Source organism: Homo sapiens, chromosome 13, assembly GCF_000001405.40.
Source record: "Homo sapiens chromosome 13, GRCh38.p14 Primary Assembly".
In the NCBI taxonomy this organism is placed as follows: domain Eukaryota; kingdom Metazoa; phylum Chordata; class Mammalia; order Primates; family Hominidae; genus Homo; species Homo sapiens.
The window spans coordinates 40,369,057-40,391,451 of record NC_000013.11 but is presented as its reverse complement, the minus strand read 5'-3'; the positions used below and the strand labels follow the sequence as shown (position 1 = coordinate 40,391,451).

At 46.3% G+C, this 22,395-nt stretch overlaps 1 long non-coding RNA gene across 2 annotated transcripts in view, besides 3 other annotated features; it reads left to right on the top strand.

The window, feature by feature from the left end:
- The window catches only part of LINC00598 (long intergenic non-protein coding RNA 598), a 133,873-nt gene that overhangs the window by 89,553 nt on the left and 21,925 nt on the right, over positions 1-22,395 (top strand). The gene's annotated exons all lie outside the window — the stretch shown is intronic.
- Positions 2,247-2,326: an enhancer, noted in NCBI's record as "active region_7604". NCBI's record gives its function as "activates an Ori minimal core promoter by ATAC-STARR-seq in GM12878 lymphoblastoid cells {active_cell/tissue: GM12878}" and the evidence as "EXISTENCE:reporter gene assay evidence [ECO:0000049][PMID:35858748]".
- Positions 2,767-2,906: an enhancer, noted in NCBI's record as "active region_7603". NCBI's record gives its function as "activates an Ori minimal core promoter by ATAC-STARR-seq in GM12878 lymphoblastoid cells {active_cell/tissue: GM12878}" and the evidence as "EXISTENCE:reporter gene assay evidence [ECO:0000049][PMID:35858748]".
- Positions 8,163-8,718: an enhancer, noted in NCBI's record as "H3K4me1 hESC enhancer chr13:40956871-40957426 (GRCh37/hg19 assembly coordinates)". NCBI's record gives its function as "activates a minimal SCP1, AML or CMV promoter by ChIP-STARR-seq in naive H9 embryonic stem cells {active_cell/tissue: H9 hESC(naive)}" and the evidence as "EXISTENCE:reporter gene assay evidence [ECO:0000049][PMID:30033119]".

Here is a 22,395-nt window from a genome sequence, read left to right as displayed (position 1 = left end):
GGGCTTATCTGGGAATATTAGAAGGACACTCATTTCAGGGTAATGCATACCTCAAACATGGGAATGAGGAACAGAGGAAAAGAAATAAATAAACCCACCTATTTCACCTACTAAGATATGGAACTTGGAAAAACATTGGCCGTGGCTTACAGTGAAGTTAGAATGGATTTTTTTTTCTGCATTCATTCTGAAAAACATACCTGCACAGCCTTCTTTTATGACTTGAGGACTACTTTTCAAGTAATCCAGGGGAAAGAGAGACCTCAATGATGTGATGTCATCTTGATTCTCCTTTCAATGAAAATCTCAACTTTTGTTAATGAATTAGGTTCCAACCTGTCAAAACACTGAAAATACTACAGACATTGTCAAAATGGTGACATCTAGACCTGGTACAGGTGTGAAGTTGGGTGAAGTGTCTGTTCATAACTTTTTTCCTGATACATTTTCAAGTCAAAAGCACCATTTGGGTAACAGGGAAAGGACTGAGGCCCACTAAGCAGTTTTCTCTAAGTTGTGGGCCTCCCAGTCGTGCCGGCTGAGACTCTGCTACAGGCCGAGGTTGGTTGATTGTCTTGGCAGCTAACAAAAGCCGAAGTAGGTGTCTCAGTGGGAGTGGAGCACAGCCATTGTCTCCAGGGGCTGTGTGTGCAACGGATGCGAATAGAAGCAGGTTTCAGTGAAAGCCTTATGACTGAGCTTTTTGCTTTTATTATTTGGTTTCCATGGTAAGTCTTTTCAAAAGACTTGGATAACAGTGTCTTTATATACACAGGAGAGTAATACGATGAAGGATGCTGTACATCAGCAAGGGCTCGGGAGTTTACAAAGTATGCTGTGCGCAAGGCCTCATTTGGTCCCCACAAAGGTGCTATGGAACAGGAAAGGATTATCATTGCTGTTTTGCAGAGGAGAAAATTGAGGCCCCCAGAGGCTAAAGGGCTTATTTCAGGCAATACAGTGAGAATGTTCTGCCTCGGGTGTTGTCAGGCAACCCCATGGTGGTTTTCAGAGGATGCTCTGCAGAGGCCAGGTTGAAGGGTACCATCTCAGGCTCAGTGGCTGCCCTCTCCCTTGCAACCCCACTTAATTAGATGAGTTCCCAGTGGGAGCGGTAACCACAGAGGGCATTGAGAAATGTGTGGGGCTTTTTAGTTTCAGTCACTTGAGGTGGCGGAGGGGGGACCACCAATGTTGGGGATGGGGCCCAGGAATACGAAATATTTTGTGCAACAGGACTGTTCCACAAAATAAATTCTTTCTGGAATTTTCAATAGCATCCCTGTTGAGCAACACAGAAGAGCATGTTTTTTTCTTCTTTTTAAAAATACATATTAAGTTTATAATATGATTATATTTGAGATAAGCAAGGTTTTCCCTGTAAAAGTGGACATTTGAAAATGACTGGACTACCTGTTTTTTGAGATACCTTCCAGCTCAAAACTCTGGACTATTCTTTGCATCCTTGTTTCTGGCTTTCCCCAGAGGTACCACAGAGAGGGGCTCCGACCTTTTCTCTCTGGCCTAAAATTCCAAGGTGGAGCCCTACCAACCTGTCATCAAACTGGCAGGTAGCTTGGGCTCCATGCATGGGCACTGGACCTTGCCAGTTTGAACCACCCAGGCTGGTGATCCTTAGAAACTTTGCTGCAAATTCTGCAATTCAGCCGACAATCAGGCTAAGGATGCAGGAACTGGCACCGGCTGTCCTCACTCCCCTGCTGGGAAGACCTGATACTCACAAATTCCTCCATCTACTTGAAAGCTGCTTTTCTGTGCAGCCTGGGATTTTTCAACAGAAAGTGTTAAAGTTGGGGGTGGCAGGGAAGAGGGTGTTGCACACACATGAACCTGTCTGTCACAGCCACGCACTGGTGAGAGCTGAGATGTGACAGTTTATTTGCAAACCTGGTGAGTGGTGCTGGCAACATCTCGTTCCTTCTCCAAGTGTCTGACCGGCAGGGCTTCCTTAAATGTGCTGCCGGCTGCCTCCCTGCAGGAACTGGGAGCTGCTGGAGGAGCCTGCCATTCTTTCACCAACTCTTACCTATACTTCATGACAGAAAGAGGCACCATTGTAGGTCAGGATAGAAACAGAAAGCACTTCAGTGCTGCCATCATAATGCTGACAGAGACGGTTCTCATCAAGCACGTCACACACCTCACAGCCATTCTCTGCTCCTCACAGGGGGCCTCTGAAGGGAATCTGTTTCCACTCCACAGATGAGAAAATTGACCCTTGGAACGACTCTGTAAACTGTTTAAGATCCCACAGCTTCTAGGCGATACGGCCAGGCTCCTACCCACATGTGTCTGGGCTGAAGAACATCTTCATGGCCGTTGGCTACCTTGCCTCTGAAGCTGAGGCTGCTGGCTGACTGTATCATCTGAGGGTTGATTTCTGGCCATTTATTTCAGGTCTCCTTGATCTTGTGTGAAGACTCCTAGGGTTATGAGTGGGCTAGCAGCCCAGGCTCCACAGGCTTCTTGCTCCCTGTCACATCCTGTCATCTAGCCTGGTGACTGGCACAGAGGAGGTCCTTAGCCACCCTGCTGAATGAACACACCGGACGTCTAGGCTCCCCTCACATATCTGTGCAGCGCCAATAACCACATCCTGTTGTAAACTCTGCCGCCTCGCTCAGACAGAGCAGCTTCTAGAGTGTCAAGGAGGAGGACGGTGGCCATGGGCCACGATGGCATGTGCGTGACTGCAGCAGAGAGGACGGGGCACACAGAGGACAGTGGCTGGAGGAGTCGGGTGCATGTCAGGTCATGTTTCACAAATGCAGTGGTCCTGCATTGCCTGCCCCTGCTCCTCTCGCACTCAGGGCTGGGAGGAGGGTGAAGCAAATGAGGCACTGGCTCCAGGCACAAAATATAAGGGGGCTTCTCCATTCTCAAGATGGACACTGTGCTGGGCCATAGCAGAGCCTGAGGCAAAAGGGAGAATCACTGATCCTATCATTATCTAAAATATTGATGTTTAATCATGATTTTTTTGTATTAAATATGATCTTTAAAAATATTGCATTAAAATATTATTCATCTTGATTACTGAGCTTTTTGCTGCCCTTAATTTTTTTTTTCTTTTTTTGAGGCAGAGTCTCATTCTGTCACCCATGCTGGAGTGCAGTGGCATGATCTTGGCTCACTGCAACCTCCGCCTCCAGGGTTCAAGCAATTCTCCTGCCTCAGCCTTCCTAGTAGCTAGGTTTACAGGCATGTGCCACCATGCCCAGCTAATTTTTTGTATTTTTAGTAGAGACAGGGTTTCGCCATGTTGGCCAGGCTGGTCTTGAACCCCTGACCTCAGGTAATCCGCCCACCTCGGCCTCCCAAAGTGTTGGGATTACAAGCGTGAGCCATGGCGCCCAGCCTGCCCCTTAATTTTGTACCCACGGCAAATGTCTGCTCTGCCTGACCTCATGTCTCTCTGCCCCTGCCTCCCTCCTCCAGCCAGAATGTCCACTGCCCTTGTGTTTGAAGCCTGCCAGCTACCTGTTAGCCTCAGGGCCTTTGCACAAGCCACACTCGTTTCCTGGCCCTCTCTTTCTCATATTTATGTGGCCCCTTCTCAAATCTCCTTTAAGTCTTGGTTGGTTGGCTGCTTTTTTTTCTGTCCTCTGTAGTGTAAATACCATGATATAGTTTGGCTCTGTGTCCCCACCCAAATCTCATCTCGAATTGTTATCCCCATGTGTTGAGGAAGGGAGATGACTAGATCATGGAGGCGGTTTCCTCTTGCTGTTCTCCTGATAGTTACTGAGTTCTTATGAGATCTGATGGTTTTATAAGAGGCTCTTCCCCCTGGGCTCACACTCGCACCTGCTGCTTTGTGAAGAAGGTGCATGCTTCCCCTTCCACCATGATTGTAAGTTTCCTGAGGCCTCCCCAGTCATATGGAACTGAGTCAATTAAACCTCCTTTGTTTATAAATCACCCAGTCTCGGGTAGTGTCTTTATAGCAACATGAAAACAGACTAATACATAACAGGGAGGCAGGTGTTTGCATCTGTGATGTACATTGTCCTGGCCGGGTATGTGGTAGATCCTCAGCAAATATTTGGTGTATGAAAGAATAAATAAATATGAGAAATAGGTATAACTATTAAGGAGCTTAAACCACAATTAGAAGTTTTAATTTGAGGGATCATAGTCATTGTCCCTCAATGACTATGATCCCTTTTAATTGGGGTCATAGACATTGAGGGACAATGACTATGATCCCTCAAATTAAAAGGGATAGACTTTGAAAAAAGAAATAATAATATGCAGCTACTATTTACATGTGCAGGTGCTATGCTAAGTACCTTTTATGGATGTATTATCTTATTGAATCTTCACAGCAACCCTATTCTCCCACATTTTTCAGGTAGACAAAGTGAGACTGAGAGAAGTTAAGGAACATGCCCAAGGATCAGGGTCTTGGATTTAAACATAGATCTGTCTGAGCTTTAACAAGGATCCTTGATGTTTGCAGAATGTGTGGGGTAAAAAAGAGATCGAAGGTTGGTGGAACACAAAAGAAGTAGTGTGTGACATGAGGGAGGAGAGAGGCAAGGTGTCAAAACAATTTTCCATCACTGGTTGCATTCCTCCAGTGTCTCACTGCGTCTACCTATCCACAGGGTACAAGTCCAGGAAGGATTAGATGGGCTTATTGCCAACCAGCGGAAGGCAGGTCAGAACTAGGTTAAGAGTGGCTGGTAGACAAGTCATTAACTCAGCCAGACTGAACTCTGTTGAAAAAAATGGGTTCAGGACTTTTTTATAAATGAGATTGTAATCCGATTAGCAATGGTCATCTTTCATAATAATGAGCCCCCAGTATATATTTATGAGTTGAGCTCATTAACCAGGTCCATGCCAGCGGCTCTCAAATGTGTTGGGGTAGGAGAATCTTTTTAGAGCTCTTTGAGGGACAATGGCATTGTCGAATAGAAAGAGTAAGCCAGGAACACCTTGGTTAGCATTTTGATTCTACAAATTACTTAATCTTTCTGAGCCTATTTCTTCAGGGATATGTTGATGATAATCCCTTTCTCACCTGGTGCTGTGCAGATTAAATGAGATGATTTTCACAAAGCACCTAGCTTTATACCCGACACACAGGAGGTGTACCCTGGATGTTTGTGTCCTTTACTTTTTTTTGGTCTTTTTCTTGTTTTTCTTTGCAGGCTGGTCAGAGGGAAAGGACAAAAGGGGTGAGAGCAAGAGTTGAGAGTGGGTGACCTTCTAGGGAACACTGGCTAATAGGGTTAGAGATGCCCCTCAAGTATTGTTGCTTGGTTACACAAGCACAGATTTAAAAATCATACCTGATAATGAAATGATATTTAAAGAACACTGTTTCTCTAAGGAGTTCAAACCAGTTATACACACATGATCTTATCGACCCTGGTGGAATCCCTGGGCAGGTACCGTCATCTCCATTTTCAAAAGGGGAAGGAGACCTGGGAAGGACTAGAGACATACCTGGTCGCTATGCTCCCTCTGTTCCCTGCTCGGCACTGTTTTGTGAGCCCACATAGCAATCAGGGCCTGGCCAGAAATAAGTGATGCCTTCAGCATGCCTGCATGCCAAGTCCCCATAATCTTAAGCACCTTAATAAAGCAGTGGTTTCTTATGGGGAAAGTACAGCTTTCCAGGAAAGTTTTCTTGAAATGAATTACTGGAACAGCAACTTCATCTTGTTAGAATTAACGTGCTCTAGTAGAGCCCATGAGGGGATTTGCTTCATTCCAGAGTTCCAAGAGGACAAGTTGAGACACGCCTACTTAGTGTTGATGGTTTCTGACTAATTCACGGAATCAAAAAACTATTGTTTTTCTTTCCTGCTCCTTTTGCTTTTCCTTCTCCTTCTCTTCTCCCTCTTTTTCCTCCTTCTCCTCTTCCTCTTTCTTCTCCTCCTCCTTCCCTTCCATCCCTTCTCCTCCTCTTCCTTCCCCTTCTGTTTTTTTCCTCCTCTCCCTCTTCTTCTTTTCCTTCTCTTTTCTCTCCTCCTTCTGCTATTTTATTTTTATTTCTTTGGCAGGCTGTTGGCCCAGGGCCATTAAAATGGACAACTCTTTAGAATGAGATTGGTTAAGATGAAGAACTGCAGGCATAAAGTTAGGGCACGACCTTGGAAAAAGCTAAAGTAGAACTGAATTAGACTCCAAGTCCTCTAGGACTAAGAGACGACAACTTGTTAATTGTTTCAAAGTTGATCCTGATTCTGGAATGAGGCAGAGATCATCTGGGGGCTGCAGTGTATCTTTTACTCATCTGTTAGATGAACAAAGAAGGTGACCTTTGGTCCTCCCTTCGGGAGGTAGGGCCCAAAGACTCAAAGCTGCTGAGATGTGTTTGACTTGATTGTAACAGCCCATGTTCATAAAAAAGGAAAAAAAGGAAGGAACAGACAGACCCAAGGGTGGTTGCCAGTCTGTAATCTCTCTTGAAACCATCTCATCTGTTGAGCCACCATTGCTGAAGCCACATAAAAGTACTTCAATTTTAATCCAAATGTTCAGCAAGCAGTTAAATAGCCACCATATCATAGAGTTTTATATTCATTCATTCAACAGGCATTTATATACCAGGCACTGGAAGAGATGTAAGTCATATAAAGATGGGAGGCCAGGTGCAGTGGCTCACGCCTGTAATCCCAGCACTTTGGGAGGCCAAGGCAGGATCACGAGGTCAAGAGCTTGAGACCATCCTGGCCAACACGGTGAAACCCCATCTGTACTAAAAAATAACAAAAAAATTAGCACGGCATGGTGGTGCGCACCTGTAGTCCCAGCTACTTGGGAGGCTGAAGCAGGAGGATCACTTGAACCCGGGAGGCAGAGGTTGCAGTGAGCTGAGATTGTGCCACTGCACTCCAGCCTGGCAACAGAGAGAGACTCCGTCTAAAAAACACATACATACACACACACACACACACACACACACACACACAAAACTAAACAACAACAACAACAACAACAAAACAAGATGGGAGGGGTCGGAGAGAGCACTTTCACTGATTTTCTTTGATTTACTCATCACAACAGTCTAATGAGGCTGAATGGATAATGCTCCCATTTTATAGGAGGTGAACAAAGTTCAGAGAGATGACTAAAATTTGCTCAGAGTATTAGGAGAGTATAGTATAGGCAGGGATCAAATTCATATCTTCTGAAAACAAATGATAAAAACTAATATCATTGAACACTTACAGTGTGCAAATGCACTGACTTAGGTGCTTTACATGTACAGTATCACATCTAATTCTTACAGCAATCCTACGAAGTAGTTGCTATTTTTATGCTACCCAGCTTAGAGATGAGCAAACAGAGGCACAGAAAAGTTAATGTTTGTTGAACACATGCTCCCTTAGGCAGAGGGAGAGTGGAGCCAGCATCACACTCAGCCAGCATAGCTAAGCCGGCTGGTGCTGTCAGCTACTGAGGGGATTGAACTACCCTCTGTGAGTGGGGTGTGAGTTTCGTTTTCTTTTTGTGGGGAGCGTATGAGCCCTGATTTGTTTGCAATCTCTCAATTCCAGCATGCATTCAGCAAACATTTATGTTCCAGGCACACTTTCCGCTTGTCCTCAGAGGCGTTCCTTTTTCGGCTGTGATCATTGTGTAGCCTGGGTGACAGGGATGACATTGTGGGGTGGGGGATCGGCTTCTGGATGACTTAGAGCTTTTTTGTGGGAGTTCTAGAAGGCGCTAGTGGTGGTCACAGTGACCCCCACTGCTGTCGCTGCACCCCTAACGTTTTTCTAGGCACTTACTCTGTGTTGGGCACTGTGATAAGCAGCTGGAAAGCGTTAACTCATTTAATCCGTACAACCTCCTTATTAGGTAACTACTGATATTATGCCCGTTTTACAGAGGAGAGTCTGAGGTGTCTCTCCTCAGGGACTAAGCTACTGACACAGTCACTCAGCAAATAAATAGCAAAACTAGAGCATCTGGCAAGACAAAGGCCTTCCCTTCCCCACCTCTCGGGCAGGCTGGTTGGTCTGGCCTTCCTGGTCTCACAGGAGCATAGCTCTGCAGGCTGCAGCCCTCTCCTGGAAGCACAGCCCAGTGGGCTCTCCTGTGGGACTCCCTGCTTGGCCTAGAGCCCTGCCTGTTCATGACGACCCCCGGCAAGGGCTGTCCGGTGGTTTGGCGAAGGCCTCCCTGGAAGAGTCACAGTCTAGGGGCTGCTCTTGGGCCTTCTGCCTGATTCCCTCAGGGAGACACATGTGCTGGCTGGGGCAGGAGAGGGCAGGCACAAGTATGTTAATCTCCAAGTGAGTAACTCGATTTACTTGTAACTACATAAGTGGACCGTTTTTCTGGTTTTATTCACTCAAAAAAAAAAAAAAAAAAAAAAAAAAAAAAAAAAAAAAAGGCATAACTTGCCCGGCACAGTGGCTCACACCTGTAATCCCAGCACTTTGGGAGGCCGAGGTGGGTGGATCACCTGAGGTCGGCAGTTCGAGACCACCCTGATCAGCATGGAGAAACGTCGTCTCTACTAAAAATAAAAAATTAGCCAGGTGTGGTGGCACATTCCTGTAATCTCAGCTACTCAGGAGGCTGAGGCAGGAGAATCGCTTGAACCCGGGAGGCGGAGGTTGCAGTGAGCCGAGATCGCTCCATTGCCCTCCAGCCTGGACGACAAGAGCGAAACTCTGTCTCAACAACAACAACAACAACAACAACAACATAACTCAGGGGCTGTTGGTAGAAAAGGCAGGGAGAGAGGCAGAGTGCTCATTCACCTAAAGTTAAATGGAGCAGACGCTTTAATGTTTTAAATGTGCTAGACCCTAGGCTGTGAGGTTGCTGCGTCACCCTGACTGATGGTCTGCAGAGGAGGGTTTCGGTTTCTCCCAGGCCTAACAGGCGTAGGCGAGGCGGGGAGAGCGGCAGGCAGTCGCTGCGGCCCTGGGTCAGGTGGGAGGGTTGGGCTAAGGCCTCCCAGCCCAGGGCGGGCTGCTCGGAGACAACCTGGTCAACTCAGGGCTCAGAACTGATGGGCGGATCCTACTTCACCTGGACTCCTCCAGTGCTCCCACCCCAAAACGCTGCCTGGCCTCTGCCACCCACAGAACCAAAAAGGACAGGAGGAAACGGGGCTGGGCCTGAGAACTGGGGTGCTGGACTCGGAGGCAGTTGCGAGGACGGACAGAGCAGGCGGACCGCTCCTGTGTCCTAGCTAAGGCTGAGGTCCAGGGCTGGGCCGAGACAGCCTTGGTCTGAGGCCCCAGGGGAGGGTTGGTTGCATGAGCAAACCTCTCAGAATGGGACAGCGGCAAAGTCCCCGTTCCTCATTTGGTGGGGCAAGAGCTGGCAGGACACATTCTCCCTGGGAAGGGGAGCGGAAGGATCTGGGGCAGAGGTGGTGGCTGGTGCCAAGTCTGTGGGACGGAAGCTGCGCTGAGGGGACGAGAAGGGGAGGAGCCACTCCAGGCCTGGCCACCGACAGTCCCAGATGTGGAAGGTCATCCACTGGACTTTTCTAGCCTTTGTTTGTGAAGAACTGGACAGCTTGTCACTGGGGGCACATCACTGGAGCATGTGACACAACTCAGGAAACAGGGAAGTTCAACAAGATTAGGTTTCCAAAATCCAGGCAGCCTGAGCTTTGGATAATGGATTTAGGTCCGGGCGTGGGGGTCACGCCTGTAAATCCCAGCACTTTGGGACACCGAGGCGGGCAGATCACGAGGTCAGGAGTTCAAGACCAGCCTGGCCAACATGGCGAAACCCGTCTCTACTAAAAATACAAAAAATGAGCCGGGCGTGGTGGCGCAGGCCTGTAATTCCAGCTACTCGGGAGGTTGAGGCAGGAGAATCGCTTGAACCCGGGAGGCGGAGGTTGCAGTGAGCAGAGACCACGACACTGCACTCTATCCTGGGCAATAGAGTGAAACTCAGTCTCAAAAAAAAAGAATCATTTAAAACACTTGAAGCTGCACACTGGGGTTTTCTCATTAGCTAATCCTTCACTTATTCCCAAGTTATAGATTAATAGGTATAGATCATCATATCAATAGACACAGAGATAGGTATTTGTATTATTTTTCTGATTATAAAAATAATACGTATTTTAGAAAATTAGAAAGATATACAAAGTCACAGAGGGGAAAATTTACAATCACCCATAAATTTAGAGATAACCACTAGAAAGATTTTTGGTATTTAGCCTTCTGGGATGAACTTTATGCATTTGTGCAAATACATATAAATACATGAACACATATTTATACATTATTTTTACAAAAGGAATTGTACAATACAAACTTCACTTAATATATTTTGAACATTGCTGGTAAGTTTTTATTTTATATAATTATATTTAAATAGCTGCTTAGTAGTCCATTGGATGGATGGATGGACCGTAATTTTTAAAATTAATTCACTATTGTGGGACACAGATTGTCTCCACTTTTTCACTAGTAGAAACAAGCCTGAACTGTACATCTTTATAGAAAACCTCTCCACATTCTGTTTTATAACGGGTGCAAAGTTAGTTGTGGGGGGGTCTTTGAATTTCTGAATCATATGTTGGAAGAATTATGATTTGCATGTGGGAGCTTTGCTGCCTGCAGCAGTCAGGGCTGGGATCTTGGAGCCAGTAGAGTGGCATGGAGACTTCACAAATTAACCAAAATTTTATTTGGATTTAATAAAACAATGTCCAGAAGAGAAAGTGTCAGGCCCCGACTGGAGAACTGTGCAAAGGTCTGATGATAAGTGTAACAGGGGAATTGGCAAATGGGAGTTTGTCGAGAGAAGGACACAGGGTGGTGGAGGGTTCTTCAAGGGAGCCCTCAAAGCAGTTTCAAGTTTGTAGGCAGAGGGGTGCCCTTTTGGCCACAAAATGTGTGGATTTGAGTTTTTTCAGTCATAATGGACCACAGCGTTGAAGACGGAATGCCAGCAACTGATTCAGTTGAAGCCCTGCAGCTTTCTGTAAAAGAAATCTAGAGGGCAAGTGTGATGACCCCATGTTCATCACAGGCCAAGGCTTTGTCTTGTCCATCATCCTTAGTGCCTGGCTTCCATCTCGATGATTACCTCATGGTCGTATGTGACAGCTGGACTCCAGACATCCCTAGTCATCACATCTTTGTCTCAGGCAGCGCTGGTATTCATGCAGAATGCATAGGTTTGGCCAATTAGTTGTTTTAACTTCAATATATTTCTGAACAGCTGGGCAAAGAGCCACTGCCTCTTGGCATGCCTGGTCATCTCCAAGATCCAGCAACTAAAGAGTTAACACAAGCTACAGCAGGACCCTCCAAGATTGCTCAGCCCTAAGGCTGATGTCCATTGGAATGGTTGAACCTGATCAAAATCACCCCCATATCCAGCTAGGGAGACAGGAGGGGCAAGCAAAAGGCTCACTTCCCAGGGGAGTCGGTCTCCTTTGCGGAGCCTTTCCCAGAGACCCCCATCAGCTTTCGTTTAAGGTTCTTTGACTGCCACACTTGCAGTGCAAGCTGGGAAATGTAGTTCCGTGCTAAAAAGGTGTCCTATATTTCCAACCACTTAAGGTTCTTTCTCTAAGGAAGCAGAGGTGTTGAGCAGGCAATCATTGTCCCCTACTCCGGTAGCTACAGTGGAAGAGGCTCAACTTCTCACAATTTAGTGTGAATAACATCTCAAATTAAGTCAGCAACATATTGGGGGAAGATCCTCATTATAGTTGCTGACCGTGTGTGTGTGTGGTTTGGGAAAGAGAAGGGTGGATGGAGGGGCAGGGGTTATACAGTTGGGATGTTGGATCTCCAGAAAGAAAAGAAAGAACAGATTCCTATTTCTGGTTGTCAGGGAAAAACATGACACTTTCCTCTGCTGAGACCAACTGCCTTAAGAAAACCCCTCCTTTAAATAAAAACAAACCTCTGTTTAAAACAAAAATAAATAAATAAAACAAAAACAAAACCTTCCCCCAAAGCTGGTAGAAGTTTGAATTGGAAGGCAATTTGGCAGTATTCAGTGAAACAAAAAATTCACACACCATTTGACCCAGCAAATCCACTTCCTGGAATCTACCCTAAGAAATATTCATTTGCCTGTGTGAAGATGTGTGCACAAAGACGTTGATTGTAGTGCCGTTTTAAAAGGGGGAAAATTAGAAACCACATGAATATCTATCAATAGGGGATTTGTTGAACCAAATTAGGATATATCCATTCTGAAGAATTAAAAGAACGAAGCAGGCTTATTTTATCATCAGAGGAAAAAATCTACAAAATACAGTTGAAGGAAAATAAGCAAATTGAATAACAATTGGAATGCAAATTTAGTATATTACTGTAAAAAAGTGTATACATATATATGCCAGTATATAAAAGGGAACTAGGAGGGGACCTCACATTGTTGACAGTGGGAGGGGAGTAGGGGCAAATGTTGAAGGAACTTAGAAACTTTGTTCTATATACTGCTTAACTCTTTCAATCAGAATGTATTCATGAATTATTTATGCAATTAAAAAACTCATGTTGACAAACTGTAGAGTCTGTTGGAGCAGGCAGCTGGAGAGACACATCGGGAGTGGCAGGTAAAAGACTTGCATTTTCAGCACAGCATAAAAATAATGTAATACTAAAATGAATGTCAGTAAGCCCATGATAATAATATAAATAACACAGCAAACTTATGTAGTTCTTGTTATGAAGATGGACAGTTCTAGACACACTACATACATTCATTTATTTAATCTTCATGATAACTCAATGGGATTAGTGTTATTATTAAATATTATTATTTCTCTTTGACGAATTAAGAAACCAAGGCATGGGGAGGTGAAGTAAGTTGCCTGTGTTAGGCTGGTTTTGCATTGCTATAAAGAAATACCTGAGAGCGAGTAATGTATAAAGAAAAGAGGTTTAATTGGCTCATGGTTCTGCAGGCTGTACAGGAAGCATAGTGCTGGCATCTGCTAGGCTTCTGGGAAGGTCTCAGGAAGCTTCCAATCATGGCAGAGGCAGAAGGGGAGCAGGCACATCACCTGGCCAGAGCAGGAGCAAGAGAGACAGGGTGGGAAGGAAGTGCCACACACATTTAAATGACCAGATTGCAGGGGAACTCACTATCACGAAGCTAACACCAGGCCGTGAGGGATCCACCCCCGTGATCCAAACACCTCCCACCAGGCCCCCCCGCCGCCTAGCATTGGGAATTCCAGGTTGATAGGAGATTTGAATGGGGACAAATATCCAAACTATATCATTGCCTAAGGTCACACTGCTGCTATGAGGCAGAGTAGGGAATCTAACCCAGGTGTTCTGCCTGTGGGGCTCATGCTCTTAACCCCATGCAACGCAGCCTGTGTGCATTTGTGGCATTGCCTGTCATTTGCAGAGCGAATTCACATACATCATCACATTTGTTTTCTCAGAGGGGTTACTGTCTGCCCCTCTGTGCCAAGCACAAGGCTAGCTGCCTTACAGTTCAGCTCGTTCACGCTGAACTGTTCACCCCTTGTGACTCATTCCCTCCTCCGTGCCCACTGACGACTGTTCGTTACTCTTCATGGTCTCCGTGATACAGATGAAGAAACAGGCTCAGAGAGTTTGCAGTATTTTCTCAGATTCTCATGGCTGACATCTCAATTTGGGTTTCCCCCAGAGCAGATGAACAAGGATTTAATTGCAGGTAGCTTATTTGGGAGGGAATGGGAATGTCAGCGTTAGCCCAGGATGGGAGGAAAGCCAGTATGTGTGTTGAGGACAGTTATACTGTGGGACCTGGGCTTTGTCCTGCTGAGGACCTGCTGAGACAATGCAGAACAGACCACTGAGGGACGAGGGGTGTGGGGTCTTCATTGCTGCACGAGGGTCTCTCTCCAATACTTCCAATTTGTCCTGGGGGAGGACCAGATGCTTTTCCGGGGCCAAAGAGAAACCCAGGCAGAGGTGCAGGAAGCTGCTAGCTTGTCCTGGGACTGCCGGCAGCAGGTTGCAGGGATGTAGATGGCCATTAAAGTTGATAAATGGAGCAGAATCAAGATTTGAACTCAAGACCCTCTTGCCTCGTCATCCACCGACCCATCTGAGGAGTGCAGAGCATGGCTCTGGAAACAGAGTCCAAGAGGGAGTTCCCTGGCTGCTTTCCTAGTCTGAATCCTTTTGAGAAGGGGAGGATTAACTGAGGGGAAGAGGAAACCTTGAATAAACTGCTTTGCAGCAGCCACCACGGCCCCTGGCTCTTTTTCTAATTCCTTATACTTGCCTTTAGGCTTGCTTGTTCCTTTAGGTCTTTACTGCATCATTCCAGAGAGACCTTCTGTGCCATACGCTACAGTTCCACCCCCTCTTATGCCGCTTAGCACTCACCATTGCCCAACATAGGAGCTGTTTTATGTCTTCCTCTTGATTCTCACTGTTTCCTGCTTTGGAGCATAAGCTGGACAGAGGTAAGACGTGTTCGTTGCTCTATCCCCAGCACCTAGCACGTGCCTGCCATGTGGAGGGCTTCCAATAAGCATTTGCTGGTGGAATGATGAAGAAGGAAGGGGTCCTGGGGAGGGGGTAAGGATCTCTGTGGAGAGCCGTGTGGTGGGGGATAGTAGAGACAGGGGGTAAAAGGAGTGAAAGGGAGCCTCTCCAAACAAATCTGATCTTAATCTATTTTTATTGAAAGCCTGTGGTCCTCAGACCCTCCTTCTACTCTGGCCCTGCCTTCCTGGCCGGGAGAGCAGCCTTGCTGGCCTGGGTGGAGGATGGCATGGGTTTGGGGTTTGGGGTTTGGGAGGCCTGGAGTTGCCTCTCTTGTGTGCAGAAAGGGAGGGATGACAGTTGCCAGCTGCAATGCCCAAGAGCAGGGAGCAGGTGCCTTGGCAGCTGGGCCTTGACACAGGCAGCAGAAGCTTCCTGCTGGAGCCACAGCTTGGCCTCGCAGCCCAGGAAAGGCTGGATAAAAAGTGAGGTCTGTGTTGCTCTGCGGGTGGGCTGCAGGTTGTTCAGTCAGGTGGGAGTTTAATTGGCATTTCCTGCTCCTATGCAGCCCTTGGCTCTCTGGGGCCATGGTCTAGCCTCTGACCCCCCACACACCCTGAGACAGGAGCATCCTTTCCCATGGGGACCCTAAGATCCTCTATAGCTTCAGATCACCACATGCTTCCTTGCCGCAGCCTTCTCTCATTGCCTACCCTGGTCCCTGGGAGTCCTGTTCCCTTAAAAACTCACCAATAGCTGCTTTTTGTTGAGCAGCTTCCAAGGTGCCAGACCCTGTGCTAAGGGATTCCTGCCTATCTCCTCCCTTCACCCTCAAACTCCCTGTGAGACTGATACTGTTATGTTTCCCATTTTGCAGATGGATACGAATGATTGCAATCATTTATTGAGGGCTTTCCACGTGCCAGGGGCTGTCCTAAGCACTTCATATCTGTGACAGATTGTGTTCTTGTTCCAAGTCTTTGCTGCCCTTCCCAGTGGGGCCATCATGCTCCCCACCCTGTTGACGACATGTGTGACTTGTTTGGCCAATGGAATGGAATTGGAAGTGACAGGCTTCTAAGCAGAAGCTCCAAGAGCCACTGCAGTTCTGCCTTTCTTCCCTCCACACCAGCCCAGCCTGGCGCAGATAGGGGCGGGTTCCTCTGTCTGGTTCCCAGAGTACAGACAGGCAGCCAAGCCACAGTGAACATGGAACGGGAGCAGGACATAAACCTTTGTTGTTGTAAGCCACTATGATTTGAGGGTTGTTTGCAGCATAATCTATCGAAAGCTGGTGGATACAACCTGCATTACCACATCTAATCCTAAGAATAGCCCTGGAGGGTAGGTATTCATATACCCATTTTCAACATTAATACTATAACTCTTCTAAATCCTGGAGGAGGAGTCTGTATGGCTCAGCCTCTGCATAGAGTCAACTTTAAAGAAACACAGGGCAAAAGCCAGACTAATTACAAGGGAATTTTATTCTTACATCTTTAGAAAAAAAACTTAAAAGGAGTCCAAATGTAGCTCTCAATTGAATTCCCTCTGTCCTCCCAACCACTTTTCTTTCACCCCCAGCTGCTCCACAGCCTGACACAAATGTCCCCGACTTCTCCCCCATCTGAGCTCCTTATTGCTTTTCTCTCCTCCTTCCCTCACCAAAGCAGACCATTTTTTTTTCCATTTAAAAAAAGCTTGGATACTCCTTCTCTGGAGAACTCAGTATCTGCTCTTTTTCAGGATAGGCAGGTTTTGCACCCCCTGAAGAGCCTCCCTTCCACATCACCACACCAAGGTCCAGCCCCCAACACCTCCTAGGTCAGACTAGATGACTTAGTTAGCTCTGATCCCAGCAAGCAAGAATCTTCTGCTGAAATAAGGAAGAAGAGGGGAAATCGGGCTGGTAGAATTCTCATTGATAGGCAGTGGGAGGGAGGGGCAAAGGCTGTGTCAACCCCACATTAATATTTGCCCTGTTACAGTAGTAATAATAGTTGCTAATATTTATTACGCATTTATGTTCCAAACACTATGCTAAGCCTTTTTTTTTTTTTTTTTTTGAGATAGAGTCTCACTGTGTTGCCCAGGCTGGAGTGCAATGGCACGATCTTGGCTCACTGCAACCTCCGCCTCCCGGGTTCAAGTGATTCTACTGCCTCAGCCTTCCGAGCAGCTGGGATTACAAGCGTGCGCCACCATGCCTGGCTAATTTGTGTATTTTTAGTAGAGACGGGGTTTCACCATGTTGGCCAGGCTGGTCTCAAACTCCTGACCTCAGCTGATCCACCCGCCTTGGCCTCCCAAAGTGCTGGGATTACAGGTGTGAGCCACCGCGCCTGGCCGCTAAGCCTTTTATGTACGTTTAAGTCATTTATTCCTTATTGAAACCCTGTGAGATAATGAAACTCCCCTTTTAGAGACGAGGAAATTGAAGCATAAAGACATTGAGAAATTTGCCCAAGGATATAAGCTAAGAAGTGATAGAACTGAGGTTCAGATCCGGTTCCGAATCCGTGGCCTCAGTCTGTCACCCCTGTGCTGACCTGTGCTGATGCAGTTGGCTCAGAGCTCACAAACCTCCAGTGGCTTCCCAGAGCCCCTGGGACACATTGCTAGCCCCTGAGCATGCCTGGGAGCCCTCCAGGCTGGTCCCTGCATATTTCACAGGCTTGGTCCCTCTCACTTGGTCCATCAACTCCATGGCCATTCACTTCTCTCAACATCCCCAAGTTGCCTTGCTCTGTTTCCCTTTGGGGTCCAGATCTGCATGAGGACACCTGTCTGTCCAGCCTGTCAGTGTCCCTGGTTAAGGGACCCTGATCTTTCAGACCACGGCTTTCTTCGCCTCCTCTGGGCTCTCCCGTGGACACCTGTGCTCTCATGCTCCTTGTTGACTGTCCAGTGTTTCTCCAGCTGCATGTGTGCCCAGGGCATAGCACAGGCCTAAGACAGAGGGTGTGCTCAATTAACATTTGTGTAGTGAATGGATGACTGCTGTTTGGTGTTCAGTTTGTGTTAAATGGATTATTTTGTTACTTTATTTGATGACATTTCCTGGCTCATAGTTCCAGGCCACATCTGTGGTGTGCACTGTCTTCCTTCTGGCTTGGTGATGTGGTTTGGCTGTGTCCCCACCCAAATCTCATCTTGAATTGTAGTTCCCATAATCCCCACGTGTCGTGGGAGGGACGCGGTGGGAGGTAATTTAATCATGGGGGCGGTTACCCTCATGCTGCTCTTGTGATAGTGAGTGAGTTCTCATGAGATCTGATGGTTTTATAAGGGGCTTTCCCCCTTTTGCTCGGCACTTTGTTGTTGCCATGTGAAAAAGGACATATCTGCAAGTTTCCTGAGGCCTCCCCAGCCATGCTGAACTGTGAGTCAATTAACCTCTTTCCTTTATAAATTACCCAGTCTCGGTATGTCTTTATTAGCAGCATGAGACCAGACAAATACACCTGGTACTTGACCTTTTCATATTTGCCAAATGTGATTTTCTCCTTTATCACCTCCAAGCAGACCTGTTTTTTTTCCATTAACCAAAGTCTTGGATATCCCTTGTCTGGAGGAACTTGGTATCTTCTTTTTAATTTTTTTTTCCAGGATAAACAGGTTTCATACACCCTGAGATAACTTATCAAGAAGCCTTCCTTCCACACCCATTGACCCAGGCAGGGTCCAGCACCCCCAATGTCTGGATGAGTCCCCAGCCCAGAGAATGTTTTATTGGAGTTAGCATATCATAGATTTGTCACATAATGTTCTCTGCACTCCAGGCATCCATGACAAAACATGGATATCAGTCTCATCCAAAGAATAAAAAAATTATTTTACAACTTACAGCCAAAAACAAAAAAAGGAAAGAAAAGAAAAACCAAATAACCAACCAAAAAATGGCAAGCATTGGCGGCTTCAGCTGAGGGTTGGCCTTTCCTTCCAACTTGAAGAGAAGCAGGCAGTCATACAGCTTCCCATAGAACCTTGGAATTTTCACATTTGCTGCTTCAGAGGTGCTGGCTGCATCCCCTGTGTCTCCCCCGGGCCAGGAGAGCTTCCCTGCACTTGGTATAGAGAAGGTTTGAGTGGGGATGGGAGGGGGAGAGTGGGCAGGGTCTGGAAAGCTGCTCCTTTAGGTCACTTTCACCCATACTGCTATACACTTAGGTGTAATTCAGACCTGGGCATCATCTGATTTATACCAAGTACAAATTGACAGGGGGGCATGCACAGTCATGGCTGAATTGTAAGCCTGAGAGTGGAGATGCTATTGGGGCCCAGCAATGTGCCCAGTTGACATATTAGGCTCCAAGTCAATAATCCCTCACATATGCTCAGAATCTCTACAAGGATGAACTAACAATGATTGTTCTCCAGGCACTGTTCTAGAGGCCTTATATTAGTGCTTCTGAAACTACATCAGAATCACTGGGGGGATTGTTGGGCTCCATCCTCGTAGTTTTGGATTCAACAGGTCTGGGGTGGGACCTGAGAATTTGCATTTCCAGCACATTCCCAGGTAGGCTGAAGCTGCTGGTCCAGGGATACATGTGAAGAACCATTGCCTTACATGTGCTTTTTAATTACATTCTCAGAAGAACTCATCTTTGAATTTACAGGTGAAGGTTAAGGATGGAATTCAAGGTTCCATGGCCAGTTACTGGGAGAGCTGGGATTCTAGCCCACCCTCAGCTGGTCCCAAAGCCTGTTCTCCTTCCCTGTAGCCGCTTTATCTTCCCATCACACTTCTCTGCCTTGGGAACTTTGCATAAAGACAAACCAACAAACCACCAAACACAGTCACAAACACTTAAAGGACCCATTCCCCGTGCAGCCCTCTGTTACTTTTACCTCCAAGATAGAGACAAGCTAAGTAAGATTTAGTGGTATGACAGGCATGTAATCAAACGCTTGGCAGAGCTGGGGCTCGAGAGTCTGATTCCTGCCTGGTAGGGGGGTCCCAAGGCTGCAGCATATTTTAATCGAGGTGCTGCAGGATCAGAGATGTAGTTTTGAAATGATCTGGAGCCATGGCAGCCTTCCATATTGCTTCCACGCTCCATTGGCCATCTCTTGGCATAGCAGGGAATGGCTGCACAGCCCCTGCTCTGGAGGGCGCCTCAAGAGTGGCTTTATAGGAAGCTCTGGCGCCATGGAACCTTGCTTAAAAGCTGATGAATTTGTAAACAAGCAGAATAACAGCTGCCAGACAGCTGGGAATCTATAGCCCCAACCAAATGGGCCAGCAGGGAGAGATGAGGAGAGTGGGATTTTTTTTTTTTTTTTTTTTACAAGGCTGAGAGAATGGCATGTCACATTTAGCCTTGCAAGTAATACAGACATCACATTGAGAAACGTCTGTGGACACACATCTGTCTCTTGCAGTCATCTTGGGACCCATGGGCACACTCCCCATCAGCCACATTGTCTTCCATTCCCTGGGTGAGGGCTGTTCCATCAGCATTGTTTCAGTTGTGATGCAGCATTGACCATGAGCACAGGGAATGGGTAAACTCACTCCTCAATGGTGCTTTAAGTACCTTTATGCATAGGGAAAAAAATCAAAAGATTCCTAAAGCGCAAGAGGTGTCTTTCTCCAGTAAGAAAAACCAAATTTTATCAGACCTTTGATTCCCTTTTTAAAGTGATCCAGAGATGTTTATGATGTTTCTTGATTTCCTCTGCAAATATTTACCTCTCAAAAAGTGACAATGAAAGTGAAAATGATAATAACCCAAAAGACAAGCTAAACTCGAGGCAGGAACATCAGTAGCATCTTGGTCAGACATTTAAAATGAAAAATAGGAAACATACTCAAATCTTTCAAAGATTGGGGACTGGATAAAAGCTTGAAGAACTCCTGGGAAAAAACTCTTCTGAATAGATTTAAAAGCTCTGCTGAGCTGAATGACAGGAGGATAATTTTTTTTTAATGGAAAGGGTTAAATGTGCCACTTCTCTGGGTTCCAGTTGAAACCCTTTTTATTTACTGGCAGCTACCACCTTCCCCGGGCCTCCTGTGAACAGTTTTCCTTTAGCCTTTTCTGGGGTAAGACCTGACAATTCAGAAATACTGAGTGTCTTTTCATAAAGCCAGTAATGAATCCACAGGCAGAAGGACAAAATTTCATTGTGTGCAGATTCATCACATTTCATTGATGAGGCCCGCAGAAAGGGGCCAAGTACTTTCACACCGTCAATGAACCCACTGTTCCCAGGCATGCACTGTCAAATGGCTGATGCTCACCTCTTTCAGCACAGACACTTTTAATTCTCCCTCTGTCATATGGGATGCAAGTCTTCCTAAAAAGAAACCACATAACAACTTTGCCTTATGTCTCGTTCCTTAGGCACAGAAACTATAATACAGAGATATCTACCAGGGTTATGTTCCCTAGAAGACTCTAGTTGTTAATGTTTTTTTTGCCTATTCTGCTGTTGCCAGGTTTTCCTTAAAAAAGGAACCTCTCACCGTTCTTAACAGTGGCTGTGGAGGATTTGGACATCTGTATGGAAATGGGGGGGCATGGTAACTCCAAGGTTAGAGACTGTTCACCAACTCCTTTGAAGATTGGTCACCAGTCACTATGTCAATCAGGCAAGTCATAACCATGCTTGAAGAAATAACTCAAAAGACACACCGTTTATCAGGGCTGACACTTCTGAAAGTGATTTTACTCAGGAATTTCAGGGGGAGAAACCCTCTTTTGCTTGCTGTCACTAAAAGTCTTTTATTCATCACATTGCTACAGACGTAGAGGTGTCAGGGGTGCAGCAGGGAGGGCTTTCAGAGCTGAGCGCCAGCCCCTCTTCTGTCACTCACCTGGAGCTGGGGCACCTAGAGGTGGTCTCAGAGGTGGCTGGCCTTCAATTGTGAGCTGGGAGTGAGGGGAGAGTGGTGGTGAGCATGCAGCAGGCCCTGTAAGTTAAGAAGGCAGCCATGAATGTCTCCCCATATCTCCATGGCCAACCTCTTTTCCCTACCATTTCTCAAAGGACTCTGTTTCACTGCCCTTCCTTCAGATAGTTATGAACTCAGGATTTTCAACCTTAAGTAGTTTTCAATGTCTGAAGCCAGAGTTGTAACAACAGCTCTTCTGATGTTCCACTTCTCTGGTATTGTAGTTCCTTCTTCGATGGTGATGGTTGTTTAAAGCCATTTTCTGTCTTTGGACATGTGGCTTGTGTGTCTCTTGAGCTGCCTGATGCTTGTTTTTCAAGTGGTCTGTAAAGAGCACGTGAGTTCATCCTCAGAATGGGGTGAGAGAGGTGTCCGTGGTATCTACACAACAGGCTTCCAGATTGCGCAGATTTTTTCAAAATGTTACAGTAAAAGATGAGAGATCTGAATTCAAACAAATGGACTGTGAATCATGGAATTCCAGCCTGCAAAAAGTCTTTAGGGAACATGTATTTTACAGACGAGGAAAAAGAGGTCCAGGGAGAGAAATTGATTTGCCAAGTGCCACTCAACCTGTGAGTGGTGAGGTGGGCACATAAACCAGGCCTTCTGATTTCAAGTTTAATGTCCTGCCTATTACTGCCCTATCTAATTTCCTTTGATTGCTGGAGTAGTTTCATTTCCAGTGGAATAATTTCTTAACTCTCGTGACCTACTAATTTAGGAGGAATTAAAATATACTAGCATTAACATCAGTTGCAGAAGAATTTTTTTTTTTTTGAGACAGGATCTTACTCTGTTGCCCAGGCTAGAGTGCAGTGGTGCAATTATGGCTCACTGCAGCCTCGACTTCCTGGGGTCAAGTCATCCTCCCACCTCAGCTTCCCAAGTAGTTGGGACTACAGGTGCGTGCCACCACACCCAGCTAGTTTTAATTTTTTTTTTGTAGAGATGGGGGTCTTGCTATGTTGCCCAGGGTGGTCTTGAGCTCCTGGCCTCAAGTAATCCTTCTGCCTTGACCTCCCAAAGTGCTGGGATTACAGGTGTGAGCATTTTTTTTTTTTAAAT